Source organism: Homo sapiens, chromosome 3 (assembly GCF_000001405.40).
Source record: "Homo sapiens chromosome 3, GRCh38.p14 Primary Assembly".
In the NCBI taxonomy this organism is placed as follows: domain Eukaryota; kingdom Metazoa; phylum Chordata; class Mammalia; order Primates; family Hominidae; genus Homo; species Homo sapiens.
Genome location: NC_000003.12, coordinates 150,786,327 through 150,802,213, shown reverse-complemented (window position 1 = coordinate 150,802,213; position 15,887 = coordinate 150,786,327). Strand labels below are relative to the sequence as shown.

At 41.1% G+C, this 15,887-nt stretch overlaps 1 annotated feature.

The window, feature by feature from the left end:
• Nucleotides 14,151-14,210: a silencer, noted in NCBI's record as "silent region_14819". NCBI's record gives its function as "represses an Ori minimal core promoter by ATAC-STARR-seq in GM12878 lymphoblastoid cells {active_cell/tissue: GM12878}" and the evidence as "EXISTENCE:reporter gene assay evidence [ECO:0000049][PMID:35858748]".

The following is a 15,887-nucleotide window of genomic DNA, read 5'->3' as shown; positions in this document are numbered from 1 at the left end:
TTGAAATGTGTAGAGTTCAAAGAGTTGAGTACCATCACTGTGGCAAAACTCCTTCCACTTCCATCTACTTCTATATGTGAGTAAATATGCTTGTTTCTTATATCAACAAAAATAAAAATGGGAAAGTAATTGTTCAGCCTTGTCTCATTCTATAAATAATATTCACCCAGATAACTAAATGGGTTAAAAAAATTATATTACTAAAAATTTATTTCCAGTACAAGGTTAATGTTTTAGTACGTGTTTATCAAGATTTGTAGTATATTTGTTATTTTGATCAGTTGTACACAAAACCTATCTAAATTATGATTTTAACAGAGCCTTATGGTCACAGGAAATAAAACTAAAACTTTTATTTACACACATACATTTGTTGCAGAAAATACAATAGGACAATCAAAAGACTTCCAAGCCTAAAAATGTATTAAGTTAGAATAAAATTCTGTGGGGTAGTGGAATGAAAATATGAGTTCAAGGAGAAAAAGTAAATAAATGTCCTAGTTTGAATATTATAGAAGGGCATTTATATTAAAGAAAAACTTCTTCATGTGCTTTTAAAATAAGGATAGCTAGCATAAAATCATTGTGGTATTTACATTCTATTGGATATATTTAAAAGATCAATATATCAGGTGTTTTTCATTTGTTTGTTTTTATTTTTTATAGAGATGGGGTTTCACCATGTTGCCCACATGGTCTTGAACTCCTGGACTCATGCAGTCCACCCACCTCAGCATTCCAAAATGCTGGGATTACAGGCATGAGCCACTGCACTGGTCCCAGTATAGCAGTTTTAATTTAAAATGTTAATAACTACTACATGCCAGAAATTACATCCTTTACTATTATACTATATAAATCTGTAACAAAAATTTTAGATGTCAACTGAAAGGTGTTCAGTAGGTACACAGTTTTCAAAAAATGTTTGCTTAGGTGTAGCCAAGCAAAAAGTAACAATGTCAATTGACACTTTCTGAGCTCTTACTGCTCACCACTGTATTAAGCTTTTCTCATAATTTAATACTTTGGTGACAACTGTGTGAGGTAGATCCAGCCAGGCTATGACTGTGGGGCTTGACACAGGGAAAAGTGGTGTTCTGCTCTCTCTCCTATTCCTGACTTGGGAGATCTGGCACCTGGCGACCTAGTCCAGCCCCCAGCTCCTATCCTTAGCAGTCCTGCCCAGAGCCTCTTGCTTCTGGGGTCCCCCTCACCTAGTGGGCAGCTCTCTGAACCTTCTAGGAACTCTCACATCCGTATATCACCAATCAGTGGTGTCTGCTCCACCACCATCCCCTCTCAGTTCCATCATCTCTCTCCAGTTCTCCCTGCCCTGCTCATGTAGGTGGAGGGCAGTTCAACAAGTCAATTGCCCAAGTCCATGTCCAATCAGGGAAATATGACTGCAATGGGCTGAACAATGGCCCCTCAAGATGCCCAGGTCCTAATCTCTGAAACCTGTGAATATGTTACTTTACATGGTAAAAAAAGATTTTACAGATGTGTTAAATTAAGGATTTTGAGATTGGGAGATTATCTGGGTAGGCCCAGTGTAAACACACAGGTCATTAAGAGAGGGAAGAAAGAGGGTCAAAGTTAGGAGAAGGCCATGTGACCCCACCGGAATCCCTTCCCTTAACTTTGGAGTTGGGTAGGAAGAGCTACAGCACTCTCACCCCCATCAGCTGATGGCTCACAACTCCAAAACTGCTTTCTCTGCTGACCCCCCATGGCCGCCCCCATCCCCATCCCTTCTGCAAGCTACCTTTGGCCTATACAGATGGGGAAGAGTATGGGGGTGGCGGCTGGGATTGGCTAAGCCAATCCACATTTTACTAGGCCCAGAGGAAGGTGACTGGTCTCAATTTTTAGAGGCTCCTCGGCATCTTTCACTGTAGAACGTGAGGAATATAAGACTCCTTTGTCTTCAGCTTTGGGTCCTGGACACCAATTCCTAGGCCAAGGAAAAGCCCCACTCAGTATTCTGTTACTCCAATCTGGAAGCAGTAGGGGGCAATACGTTTTTCCTGAGAAATCGGTTATTCCACAGGGTTAGATCCAACTCCTCTCACTCCATATCTGGGTACCTTTCATAGGAATTTAAGACTCTTCATTATGAGAAAATATTAACTCATTTCTTTGTAATCCAATTCTAATGAATCAACAATAAAGTCTACCCCCTTTTTTTCATGCATCCAGTACCTTGCCTTCATCTGACTTCCAATCCACAACAGTTAAATCCGACAATTAGAACCAAGATCACTGAAAGCTATTCAATGCGTATGCTTGGTGAAATTCATTGTATTACTAAAGGGGCCTCCCAGGGCTCCCCACTCACTCTCTGCCCTTTGCCGAGTGGTGTTATCACTTAGGATGCATTCAACTGCAAGTAATAAAGAAAAAAACCCTGCCAAACAGCAGCATCAATCAATAGGGAAGTGGTTAAATAGAGGTGGCTGGGCACGGTGGCTTACACCTATAATCCCAGCACTGTGGGAGGCTGAGGCGGGTGGACCACCTGAGGTCAGGCATTCAAGACCAGCCTGGCCAACATGGTGAAACCCCATCTCTACTAAACATACAAAAATTAGCAAGGCATGGTGGTACATGCCTGTAATCCCAGCTACTTGGGAGGCTGAGGCAGGAGACTCACTTGAACCCAGGAGGTGGAGGTTGCAGTGAGTTGAGATCGTGCCACTGCACTCCAGCCTGGGTGACAGAGCAGGACTCCATCTCAAAAATAAATAAATAAGTAAAATAAAATAGAAGTACATCCACATAATGGAAAATTACTTAGCTGATAAAAGGCATGGGGATGCTACATACTGACATGGAAACACCTCTAGGACGTAATGTTAGGTGAGAAAAATAAGTTGTAGAACAGTATACATAATGTTGCCATTTCTGTAAGAAAGGGAAAAGGTGCTTATTTGCTAATATTTACCCATAAAACACTGAAAGATCACAAAAGCAACTCTTATAGTTGCCAGTAAAAAAGGAGGAAGACGGTGAAGACAGGACGAATGAGGACAGGTATAGGAATAAAAGCTCTCAACAAATACCCTACATTGTTTTCATTTGTAGCCAGATGGAACGCATTACCTATCAATGTTTTTCATCTTTTAAAAAATTTGGTTATGTAAGATGTTACTATTTGCAATATTTGTGTAAAGGGTCTATGAAAATTCTCTGTACTGTTTTTTGCAACGTTGTTATAAGTAAAATTATTTCCAAATAAAAAGTTTGAAAAGATTTTTTAAAATAAAACTTAGAGATAGTGTTAGAAGGGGAACAAATAAAAGACATAAAAATAATCTAAATATCAAATATTTACTTAATAAGAGAGGAAATAGCAAAGGGGATGTGGGGACAGGACAGTAGAAAGGGAAGTGGCTAAGAAAATCAGAAAAGGACTAATTAAAAAATAATAATAAAGAAAAGAAAAGCTGGCATCCTAGACCCATTTTCAAGGGTCCCGTGGACTTCTCCCCAGATTGTTATTAATGTAAAGAAGATTCCACTACTACAGACAAATCAGTGGTTCTTGACATCATCCTGGGACAGGATGCCTTCCAAGCACTGCTTCCTGCTGGATGCTTTTCCTCCCTCCCCCATGCTCCCCACACTGTGCAGGGGCACAGGCTCAGAAGGTAAATCCAGAGCGATTTGATTTGTGCCCTTTCAGTTGAAAGGACTAACCACAAGCTGCAGCGACTGGCAGTATTCACACACTTCCCTTCACAGGGGAAAGCATGCAAATTAAATCCTCACACTGCAGGTCAACAAAAATAAAAGCCTTTACTGTGGGTAATGTGTTTACCACCCCCAATTCCTGGAAACCAGAGCCTCAGAGTCTAGTTACCACAGTGTGGGAGAAATTGCTGGGAAGTTTATTGAGGGAAGCCTGAGGTGCAGCTCGCCCAAAGCAAACAATCTCCTGCTTGCTTTCAGGCTGCCGCCTCAACATTCTCAAAAAGTTCTCCATGTTCACAGAGATTGTGCAACCTGAGGTCCTAATCTAAAAGAGTCTAAGGGAGTCCCCAGGAGGGTTGCTGTGAAAATAATGTCAGCATCCAGGTGGTAGGAACAACAGTTTTTAAAAGTTTACCACTCTGACACCTTGTATTCTGGTCTATTTCTTTAGCCTTAACACTCCAAGCAATCATGCAGTTTTAATTTGGGGTCAGTTTTTCCAAAGCAAATCTGCTAAGGCTCTATTTTCTTCTTCAAGAATAGGGTGGCAAAGGTGGATTGTGTGAGCAGGACCTGTAGAGACCGCACAAATTCTACACTAATAATAACTTTCATTTGTGCAATAATGCAATGGCATACTAGTATTTATTGAGCATTTATTAAGTGCTTTGCATACTTGATATTTTTAAATCTTCATCGCAATTGTATAAAGTATTTTTATTCCTAACTCAATGAGGAAAAAGCTGAGATTTAAAGGGTTTAGGTCATTTGCCTAAGACCACTCAGCCACAGTATTTCATCAAATCTAAGATGCCACCATTATTTCATATACCATTAAAAAAGAAAAACATGCTGCTGATTAAACTGTGATGTACTATCAAGTGCAAGACAACTCCCAAGTCAGAGGCATTAAATGTGAAAAAGTATGGGTCTTAGGTTCTGACATGCAGTTGTAAGTGGTAGAACTACTCTGCTGTTTACAGTGCATTTCCACAGTAATTGTCAAATTTCTTCCTCAGAAAAACCTTGTAAGTTATAAAGCAGGCATAATTATCCCATTTTTAGGTGAGGAAATAGGTTCAGAGTAGGTAAGCAATTTGCCCAGTCACAGAGCTTACATGCACTCATGACTCAAACACGGAAATTCTGACACCTAAGACAGCAATTCCTACATCATGCAGCCTCCCCTAACCTTAAGAAATGTCTTAAGTGGCTGGGGCATGGTGGCTCACACTTGTAATCTTAACACTTTGGGAGGCCAGGGCAAGGAGAGAGTGATGCTTGAGGCCGGGAGTTCAAGACCAGCCTGGTCAACATAGGGAGCCCTCATCTCCTATTAAATAAAGAAATGTCTGGGCACTATGGCTCATGCCTGTGATCCCAGCAGTTTGGGAGGCTGAGAACAGTGGATCACTTGAGGTCAGAAGTTCGAGACCAGCCTGACCAACACAGTGAAACCCTGTTTCTACTACAAATACAAAAATCAGCGGGGCGTGGTGGCCCATGCCTGTAGTCGCAGCTACTCCGAAGGCTGAGGCAGAAGAATCGTTTGAACCTGGGAGCCAGAGGTTGCAGTGAGCCAAGATTGCACCACTCCACTCCACTCCAGCTGTTGTGACAGAGCGAGAAGAAGAAGAAGGAGGAGGAGGAGGAAGAGGAGGAGGAGGAGGAGAAGGAGAAGAAGGAGAAGAAAAAACAGAAGAGAAGAGAAAAGAGAAGAAGAGGAAGAAGAAGAAGAAGAAGGAGAAGGAGGAGAAGGAGAAGGAGGAGGAGAAGGAGACGGAGAGGAAGAGGAAGAGGAAGAAGAGGAGGAAGAGGAAGAAGAGGAAGAAGAGGAAGAGGAATAAGAGGAAGAGGAGGAAGAGGAAGAAGAGGAAGAAGAAGAACAGAAGAAGAGGAAGAAGAAGAAGAAAGAAGAAGAGGAAGAGGAAGAAGAAGAAGAAGAAGAAGAAGAAAAAGAATATTTAAAAATAATATTTAAAAATGCCTTCCTGGCCAGGCACGGGGGTGCATGCCTGTAATCCCAGCACTTTGGGAGGCCGAGGCAGGTGGATCACTTGAGGTCAGGAGTTCGAGATCAGACTGGGCAACATGACAAAACCCCATCTCTACTAGAAATACAGAAATTAGCTGGGCTTGGTTGCACACCCCTCTAATCCCAGCTACTTGGGAGGCTGAGGCACAAGAATTGCTTGAACCTGGGAGGTGGAGGTTGGAGTGTCCCGAGATGACGCCACTGCACTCCAGCCTGGGTGACAGAGCGAGACTTCATCTCAAAATACATAAAAAAAATAAATAAAAATGCCTTACTATTCTTATTTATCAATGGAATTATTTGAACAAGTATAGAGGACAGGCAGCTGGAGATCTCTTATTGTTACAACTGTGACAATATTATCCTGCTGAGCTCTTTGGTTGTGAGTGAAATGCTGCCCCTTATTCTGTTTAATTCATGAAACGCTTACTGAATGTATGCTATGAGCTAACAGACGCTGTGTCAGGCAGGAGACTGGGGCTACTTTAGTTCACAAATTTTACTATGAAAACCTTCAAGCATACAGAAAAATTGAAAGAATAATACAGGGAAACCTCAGATACCTCCATCTGTGTTGCAGTTACTAACATTTTGCCATGTTTGCTCTCACCATATGTACGTTGGTAAACTCAGTGAGCATAAATTGCAGACGTTATAACACTTTACCTTCAATATTTATCTTCTAAGAACAAAAATAATTTTTACATAAGCATAATACCACTATACTTGTGAATGTCAGTTTTGTGTGTCAGCTTGGCTACACCACGGTCCTGTTATTCAAACACTAATTTAGGTGGACTTTAATCACGTCTAATCTGTAGGGGTAATTTAAGTCCATAGTCACTAGATTTTAAGGGAGATTATCCTAGATAATCTATCCCAGATAATCTGAGTGGGCCCGATTCACTCAGTTGAAAGGCATAAGAACAGAGCTAAGACTTCCTGAAAGAACAAGAAATTCCACCTGTAGACAGCAGCTTCACCCTGTGCCCAAGAGTTCCAGCCTACCCTTCATGACAGCCAGCCCTGTGGATTTCACACTTGCCTAGCCAGCCCCCATAATCACATATACCAATTCCTTGTAATATATTTCCTTATTCTCCTACTTGTTCTGTTTCTCTGATTAAAACGTGATTGATACAATACCTATGAAAATTAACATTATGCCAATAGTATCTTCCTTTATTGATTATTTTTAATCTGAGGTCATGGGATGGGCTTCAAGGATTGGAAAAAGCCTGAAACTGTATACAGCATTTGAAATGTTTGTACGTTTTGTAAATTTTCCTGGAGGAAAATCTAGTTTTCATCAAATCCTCAGAATGTGCATTACCTCCTAAATGATCAAGAGCCACTGCATTAAATTCATCTTCCTAGTTCCATGAACCTCACAACAGTGATAACAGAAAAAGGCCAACTGACTTTAAGGGAGGACTGGGTGAATCCCTGGGACAGGAATCTGATGGTGGTGGGGGAAACAGCCAGCCACCCTGCAGTGGTTCCAGAATTTCATTCTCGTTAGTTCATAGTGACACAGGTATTTACAATATATTGCCAATCTCTTAAAGACAAGGACAGAGGGAATAAGTCCCTGCGAGTTTCATTGTTAGTGGCTCCAAGCACAAAGCCACTTAAATTTAGCCATCCTTATGGAGGTAAAGAAGTACAGTAAGGTTTTGCATTTAATCTTGATGACCTCATATTTTAAATAAATACTTGGCATCAAAGGCTGAAGAAGAATCATTTGGCCTATATCCGTCTTCCCAAGATTAAAATGTAAAAGGCAGTGAAATGCCTGTTATCCAGAGTGGGAAGAAGGAGAGCAGCTGTTGGCTGACCAAGTTAGAAGGTGCCAATTAATATTAGTCAAGACTTCAGAGAGAAGAAAAATCTTTTTAAAGTTTTTTTTTTAACAAAAATAGTACATTCTCAAGGAATGATATTTTTTCCTATTTTGAATTCTATTAAATCTCTGTAAGAGGTCAGCTTTATAAATGCAGGCATTCCTCCTATTTACAAAAATCTTACTTGTAAGCAGCCATATTGTATTCCCTTCTTGTCACACATCAGGTACTCACTGCCCATGACAAGGCAGAAAAGGGCAAAGCAGAATCCTGCTGGAAGTGTTCCCCTCTCTTAGTGGGGATCAGGGGGCAAGTGTCCTTCCCTGTGGTGGCTAAACTCAGCCCAGCCCCTGAACTAATCCTTGTCTGAGCAGAAATAGCCAGCAGCTCCAGGAACATTGTCATATGGGGCCTGTTGGTCACAGGGGCATAAAGCTAATGTCCAGTATCACCAGGATTTGCCCTGTGCCCAGGGGTAACCTCCTAGCTGTTTTCTTCTTCCAGTGAGCTGGCCAGTTCCACAGCTCAGCTTCTGCCTTTTGTTTCCTTACTTATGACTTGATTTCCTACCTGTGACTGCAACCTTCTTCCAAATACCTAAGTTAATTCCACAAAAAGTGATAGTAGAGTGTTTGAACTAAGAAGGAAACCCCATTCCAGAATTTGACATACATTTATTTACACCAGTCTTCATGATCAGCATTAGGGAAGAGTTAGTGAGTTTCCTGAATTCTCAGATCGAAGGTTTAATGTTATAGCAGTTCACCTGGACTGCTCTAATGTACGGCCCTGGTCTCTGCCACAAGATGGTGCCTTGTTGCTGCATCCTTCAGAGTCGACAAATGCTGTGTCCTCACATGGTAGAAGGGCAGAGGGCAAAAAAGGGGCCTAGCATTCTCTCCAGCTTGTTTACAAGGTCATGAATCCCATGAGGGCAGAGCCCTGATGACTTAATCATCTCCTAAAGGCCCCACGTCTTTTTTTTTTTTATGGGTATGTAGTAAGTACATACATTTATGTGGGGTATGTGTGATGTTTTGATACAGACATATAATATGTAATAATCACATAAGGGTAATTGGGGTATCCATCACCCCAAGCATTTATCATTTCTTTGTGTTAGGAACATTTCAATTATACTATTTTAGTTATTTTAAATATACAATACATTATTATTGAGTGTACTCACCCTGTAGTGCTCTCAAATATAAGGCCCTACCTCTTACCACTGTCATATTGGAGATCAAGTTTCAACATGGATTTTAAAGAGAACACAAACATTCAAACTATAGCAGGGGCTGATGGAAAAAATGTTAAGACTGCTAAGAGGAATTAAAAGATCCTTCAGGATCAAGATGCCTCAGTGCCATCTCTTCCTGCTTTGCCACTGAATAAGCCGAGAGTTGTAACTCAACAGTAAAAAGAGAAATAAATAAGAGAAATTTAAAAGATGGTTAAAAGTTATAAAAAGACAAAAAACTATAATAAATTGGACAGGGGAAACAAAAATAAAAGCTATGAGAGAGAATGAGATGAAATAAATATAAGCAAGCTAATGCTAGGAACTGAATGTGTTTCTCTCAAATTCATGTGTTGAAAACCCAATTATCACTGTGATAATATTAGGAGGTGGGGCCTTTGGGAATTGAAATGATCATGAGGGCAGAGCATTCATGAATGGGATCAGTATCATAAAAAAGGCCCAGACAGCTGGCTTTGCACTTCTATCATCTATGAAGCAGGAAGCAGGCTCTCATCGACACTGAATCTGCTGGCACCTTGATCTTGGACTTCCAGCCTCCAGAATGGCAAGAAATACATTTCTGTTATTTATAAGCCAGCTAGTCTATGGTACTTTGTGACAGAAGCCCAAAGGGACTAAGACAACTAAGAAAAATGTGGACATGAGCTAAAAGTGAGTAGCACAAAATTTTAAAAACAAGTCATGATTATGAAGACACAAACAGAGTAAGAGGGCTCATATATTTAAAAGATAATACCATAAAAGAAGCTACAAAAATAGCTTAAGTAAAATTGGGCCTCCATGCTCCCACCTTAGAGTCACAGTGTGGAATTGTATCCGGAAGAAACTCAAGTTTGCTTCCAGATAAAATAAGAAAAAAAACAGAGGTCTTTTCAATGGGTCTTGTGAGAAGGCAAGATCAGGGGAATTACAGTGCATGCACAGAAGGACTATTCTCCAAAAGCCCTCCTTGGATGTTTGTCCTCACCGGAGTCCTGCTTCTGAGCAGCTGTCAGAGATTTCATCACCTTCTTCTCCACATGGTTCCCTGCCCACCACGCTGCTTTCCCACTCCTCCCTCTCCGAGGTATACTGCTCATGCGCTGACTCCTTCCAAAAGCCATACAGCCTTACAAGTGACTGTCTTCCCTCTGGGACCTGTCCCATGTCTCCTATTCTGGTGACTTTTCTCCAAGATGCAATACTCCCTCAATCTGGAATTCTAGTGAATTAAATTCCCTTTATAAAATGTAAATGACATCATAAAAATATAGTATTTAAGAGGCGAAGAGTAAGGAAATTACCCCTAAAGAATATTTTAAAGTGAAATGGCAGAGTAGTGGAGGTTAAAGCTTTAACACTAGCCATCAAGGTCCTGGCACCTCTGGCTGGCTATCTACAGGCTATACCAAGCTCAGACTTAGGGAAATATGGAGAGAGCAGGAGAGGCCTGAGAGTTGTAATTGGTCATTATCTCAATACGAACTGACCAGGCAAAGCAACTACTAAAAAAGGAAAAATTTAAAAAGATGATGTGTAGTTACACTCATATGGCAAATAGGGATCATCACCTGTGCCAGCTCCAATTGACCAGTCGTGGCTACCTGGAGTGTAATGTGGAGTATCATGAGGTCACATGTGAACCCAGCAAAAGGAGCGCCAGGATCAATTAGCAATGCCAGCTGTGGGTGTAGGAGTGAGGAGAGGCACAGGGCATGCAGTGCCTCCTGGCCCTGGGCCTGGAAGCTGGCTCTCAGGAGGAAAGCAGTGTCTTATCGGATACAGTCAGGTTCAGAAAGTCATCAGCGGAAAGGCTTGCAGGAGCCAAGCAGGTACCATGAAAGAACAAAGCAGCCCCAGGGGAAGGGGTTGCCTCTGTGTGTGGAGGGCACATGGCTAGTAGAATATTTTTGGCAGAAAGTGATAGAAAAACCCAAGTCAACTGGTTTGAATAATATAGAACTGCATTATTTTACCTAATAAGTCTTTGAGAGAGGCAGGATGAGCCAGATGTGCTGTGGTGAAGGTTCTAGCTCTATTTCCCACTCTTCTTTCAATTTTCCCCTCCTCCATGTGAACAGCCCATCACTACCATCTGATAGTAACTGATTTAGGAACATAGGCTTAAACCATCAGTAGCTGGTATTCCCAGGGCTGGTCTAGGGATGGGCGTATGATCCAATTTGGCCTAATCAGACTTCAGGGAATGCCTTATTTCATGGGTGGAGGAGAGGTTTTCTTTTCCTTCCTGTGGATGTAAACAAGAACACTTATTGCCCCAGTCACTGCTGCCCATCATCTTGCAACCATAGGGGTAAGTCAGCTTGAGGACGCTCCATGTGGAGGAGAGGAAAGCTGAAAGAGGAGTGGGAAATAGAGCTAGACCCCTCACTGAAGCACATCTGGCTCCCCCTGTCTCTCCAAGTGCAACATGTGCTATGATCAAGATGTGTTCCATCTAGAGGCTCTAGGAAAAGATTTGTTTTATTTCCTTTCTCAGCTTCTAAAGGCCCTCTGCATTCCTTAGCTTGTGGCCTCTTTCTCCATCTTCAGAGCTGGCAATGTTGCAACTCTGAACATTCTTTCATAATCACATCTCCTTCTGACTACAACTGGGAAAGGATTTCTTCTTTTAAAGATCCATGTGATTAGATTGAACTCACACCAATAATGAATACTGTCCCTATCTCAAAGCCCTTAACCAAATCACATCTGCAAAGTTCCTTTGCCAGTAAGATAATGTATTCACAAATTTCAGAGACTTAGGACTTAGACAGCTTTGGGCGGGTGTTATTCTGCCTACCATACCACCTCATAGTTCCTTCAGGCTCAGATCCACACTTTGTAGTTATATATTTCCAAACTCTAGATAGAGGTCAAGAAAGTCAGGAAAAAAGCATTTCCACAAGAATAAAAAGAAAAAAACTAAGTGGATTCAGCAATGTGTTCCATTTGATGGGTAACAGTCTCTCCCTGGATTAAATAATAACTGTTGAAAAGGTCCTACAGGCTAATGTTAGCTAAAAGAGGGCTGAACAAAGCCCAAATTAAACTGCGTAAATTCCCTGAGGTCTCTGGAGAGTTTTCTGTATAAAAGGAAGGTCACAGGTGATATTGTATTTCTTATAACCCCAAGGACACAATAACTTTTATGTCAAACTGGAAATGAAATAAAATGCTGGCTTCTGAAAATTCATCAGATCAAGGAGAACATCTTGACTGGACAATGAGAAAATTTATAACTCTTCAGTCACCTCCTCGATCCTTTTAACTCTGGGGATTGCCATTGAATAGCTAACTCAGTCATGGAAATTAACTTATCCAGTCAAAAGGAAATTGTCTGCCTAAGGATGAACACAGAGGATCTGGCTACAACTAAAAACTCTTGCTCTCCTAGCTTGGCTACTCAATAGAAAAGGAAAGGGAAGTGTGAAAACATCAAATAGAAGAAGCAGTAATGAATTTTGCCAGCTACCTTTTTTTTCAATAGTGAGCAGTGCCGAGAATGAACATAAGGAATCAGTGCTCAGCAGACCTGGATTGTAGCCCCGCTGGGACATTAACTAGTTGTTAAGACTTTGGTCAAATGCCTTAACCTTCTGGGGACCATGTTTCCTTGTCCTTTTTTAAAAAATTTTAAAAATATTGACATGCATTTTTTAAGATGCATTAAAGAAAAAATTCATAATACTTCCACCACATAACACACACATATGCACACACACACACACACACACACACACACCCCTACTTCCTCTTATTCCACCCTCCAAGGGTGGAACGTCTAGTGAGTATCCCCTCGATACCTTTCTCCATGCTCGCATGCAAGCAGATATTCCTAAAGAGTTTGAATTTTTTGTTCTTACAAAAACTGAATCATACTATGTTTAAGACTCCACAATTTCTTTTTTTTTTTCATTCAACTTACTATGGTGATCCTCTAGAACAATTCATATAGATCTAATTCATTCCTACACACTAATTTAAATTGGAATTATGAATATACCAAATTACATTTATACCAAAATATATCCTATTGAAGTACAGTTCAGTTGTATCTCAATTTTGTTTTGTTTTGCTACTAAAAAATGTGCAAAAATCATCTCAATTACGTATTTCTATGTTCTACAGCTTTCATATCTGAAAAATATACTCCTCAAAATGAGATTTGGGGCAAAAAATATTTTTAAAAATTTTAATAAATATTACTATACTATCTCCCCAAGAGCAGTAATAATTTTCAGTCCTACCTTCAGTATATGAGAAGGCCTGTTTTCCCTCTATTAGCACTGTATGTCATTAATCTTTTTAGTTTTTGCCACTTGATAAGGAAAAAATGGTATCTTGTGTTGTTTAATTTGCAATTTTGAATGCTAGTAAGGTTGTTCATCTCATTTCTTAGTAAACTTTAGTTGCTAATTTAGGTTTTTACTCTGTACAGACACTATTCTTATGAGAAAAATGGAGGCATATTTTGGACTAAATCTCTAGCAAAATCACCGTAACTGTTATCTGGAATACCAGTTTAGCCAGAAACCAATCAGTACCTGAAAGCAGTCTGTAGCTTGGCTGTTGTATAACACCTCAACCCCATTTTAAGGAAGATCTTCAAAAAACTTCTGGAGAAGTCTAAATTGCAAACGATGATCACCACCACAGAGGCAGGAGTAATGGATGCCAAGTTCAACATAAACTTGTCTTTGACACCAAGGCATTGCCAAACCAGGAATGATGGCAAAGCTAATAGTGACTTCCTGAAGCACTTGGTTGAGAAGCATTCCGAGGCTGATCAGGGCTCAGCAGAAAAAGAGATGGAGTAGCAATGTGCGTTGGGTGCATACGAATATAAAGGAGCAATATCTCAGGTGAGAGCCCTGATATTGTCCCCAATTGGAATTGATACCTGGGCTCAAAGGTGCCCGGAGCTCTTTGATCTGGGTAGGAGGAAAGACTCATTCCCCATCCCTGCCATCACCTCCTCCTGAGACCACACAGGACCAGGGGTGTCCTCCTCTCTCTTCCCCAGACCTCCCATTCTTTGACTCTGTTTCATTTTATCCAGAATTCATCTGAATAAAAACGTTATTGAAAACGGAGAGAATACAGAAATTTTCTACACCCTAAATCCACTAGGAATGGACAGACAGGGCTGGTAAGGGAGAAATTAAATGACATTTGAAAATCTACAGACAAGAGAAATTGTAGGCAAAATGACAGACATAAAATCTCTGGCTCTCTTCAGAGAATTAGCATTCAAATCACAAAAGACAAAACAAAACAAACAAAAAGCTCTCAGTGCCAAAGCTTAGAATGCCTGCATTTCAGCTCCATCCAGGAATGGTGCACATTTTCTCTCCCAAAATGTGAGTTGGCCAGGCACTTCTCCGCCGCCTCACGCCTCCCCGTGACTGCGCTTCCTTTATCAGGACGTCGCCTGACCCCTAGTGGTGGCACCGCCTGCAGCTGCACCAGATAAGCTTGTCAAAATTCTAATTTGCTGACAGGTAGCAGCATTTCCTTAGAAAAACTAATGTTTGTACATTACCACAGTAGAAAATGGGTCTCTGACTTTAAGAAGATCTTCAGAAAGGTAAACTGCAGAGAAATTAACAGAGATGCCTAAACACCAAAGAACACAGCAATCTTTGTCATATGACAGCAATACATGACATTTTTCCTGGATCAGTAACAGCCTCGATCTCCCAGGCTCAAATGATCCTCCTGCCTCTGCCTCCTGAGTAGCTGAGACTACAGGTGTGCGCCTCCACCACAAACAGCTAATTTTTTTATTTTTTATCTTTTTTGTACAGACAGAGGTCTCCCTATGTTGCCCAGGCTGGTCTTGAACTCCTGGGCTCAAGCAATCCTCCTGACTCAGCCTCCCAAAGTGCTGGGATTACAGATATGAACCACTGCACCCAGCCAGGCCTATCTTTAAAAATGAGTAAAAATCCTCTGGTCCTGCTCAAATTTTTCTTTTTTATTATTTTTTTTTTTAAAAAAAAAAGGAGTAAAGAATTGCATCCAAGATAAGGAAGTCTCCACGTGTCTACACATTCATCCAAACCCACCTTGCTCAAGACTTCATGAAGTAGAAAAGCCTAGAAACTAGACATTCACAGTCCTATAAAATTCATGTGCCTTAAACTGATGCCATGAAAATTAGTTCTAAATGATGGCCAAAGGCAATAGGGAAAAAATGCATTTGTGAAATATTTTAGTTTATTTCATGAAGCATTAAGTAATGTATGAAAAGAAGTTGAAACTGAGACAAATGATCTTAAATGAGCCACAATCTTGGTCTATCCAGAATTTGCCTGCAAACCCCACCCTGCCCTTGTCAGAATGACTCAGACTTGGGTTGACTGAGCTTCCAAGGTGAAAGTCTCAGAAGCCACAGTTGAAGGAATCTAGGGTTGGCAAGGTTTCCCAGGTCCCCCTCCCACATGCCCCAAACTGGTCTCAGGTCCAGTTTGCTCTCAAAAGTAGGGTAACTCCTACTTTTTTTCTTTGAGATGGAATCTCTGTCTGTTGCCAGGCTGGAATGCAATGGCATGATCTTGGCTCACTGCAACCTCCCCCTCTCAGGTTTAAGCAATTCTCCTGCCTCAGCCTCCTGAGTAGCTGGGATTACAGATGCATGCCACTGCGCCCAACTAGTTTTTCTAGTTTTAGTAGAGATGGGGTTTCACCATGTTGGCCAGGATGGTCTCAATCTCTTGACCTCGTGATCTGCCTGCCTCGGCCTCCCAAAGTGCTGGGATTACAGGTATGAGCCACTGCGCCCGGCTGACCCCTACTTTTAAAAAGGGCAAAAGATCTGAACAGACACCTCACCAAAGAAAGTATACAGATGACAAATAAATACAGTGGTCCCACCTCAACTACGGAACATATGTTCCAAGACCCCCAGTGGATATCTGAAGCCACGGATAGTATGGAACCCTATTATACTATGTTTTTTCTATCTAATAATCAACATAGCTCCAAAGTGACTAATGGGCGGGTGGTATATACGATGTGAAGACACTGGACGAAGGGATGATTCACATCTTGGGTGGGACAGAGCAGG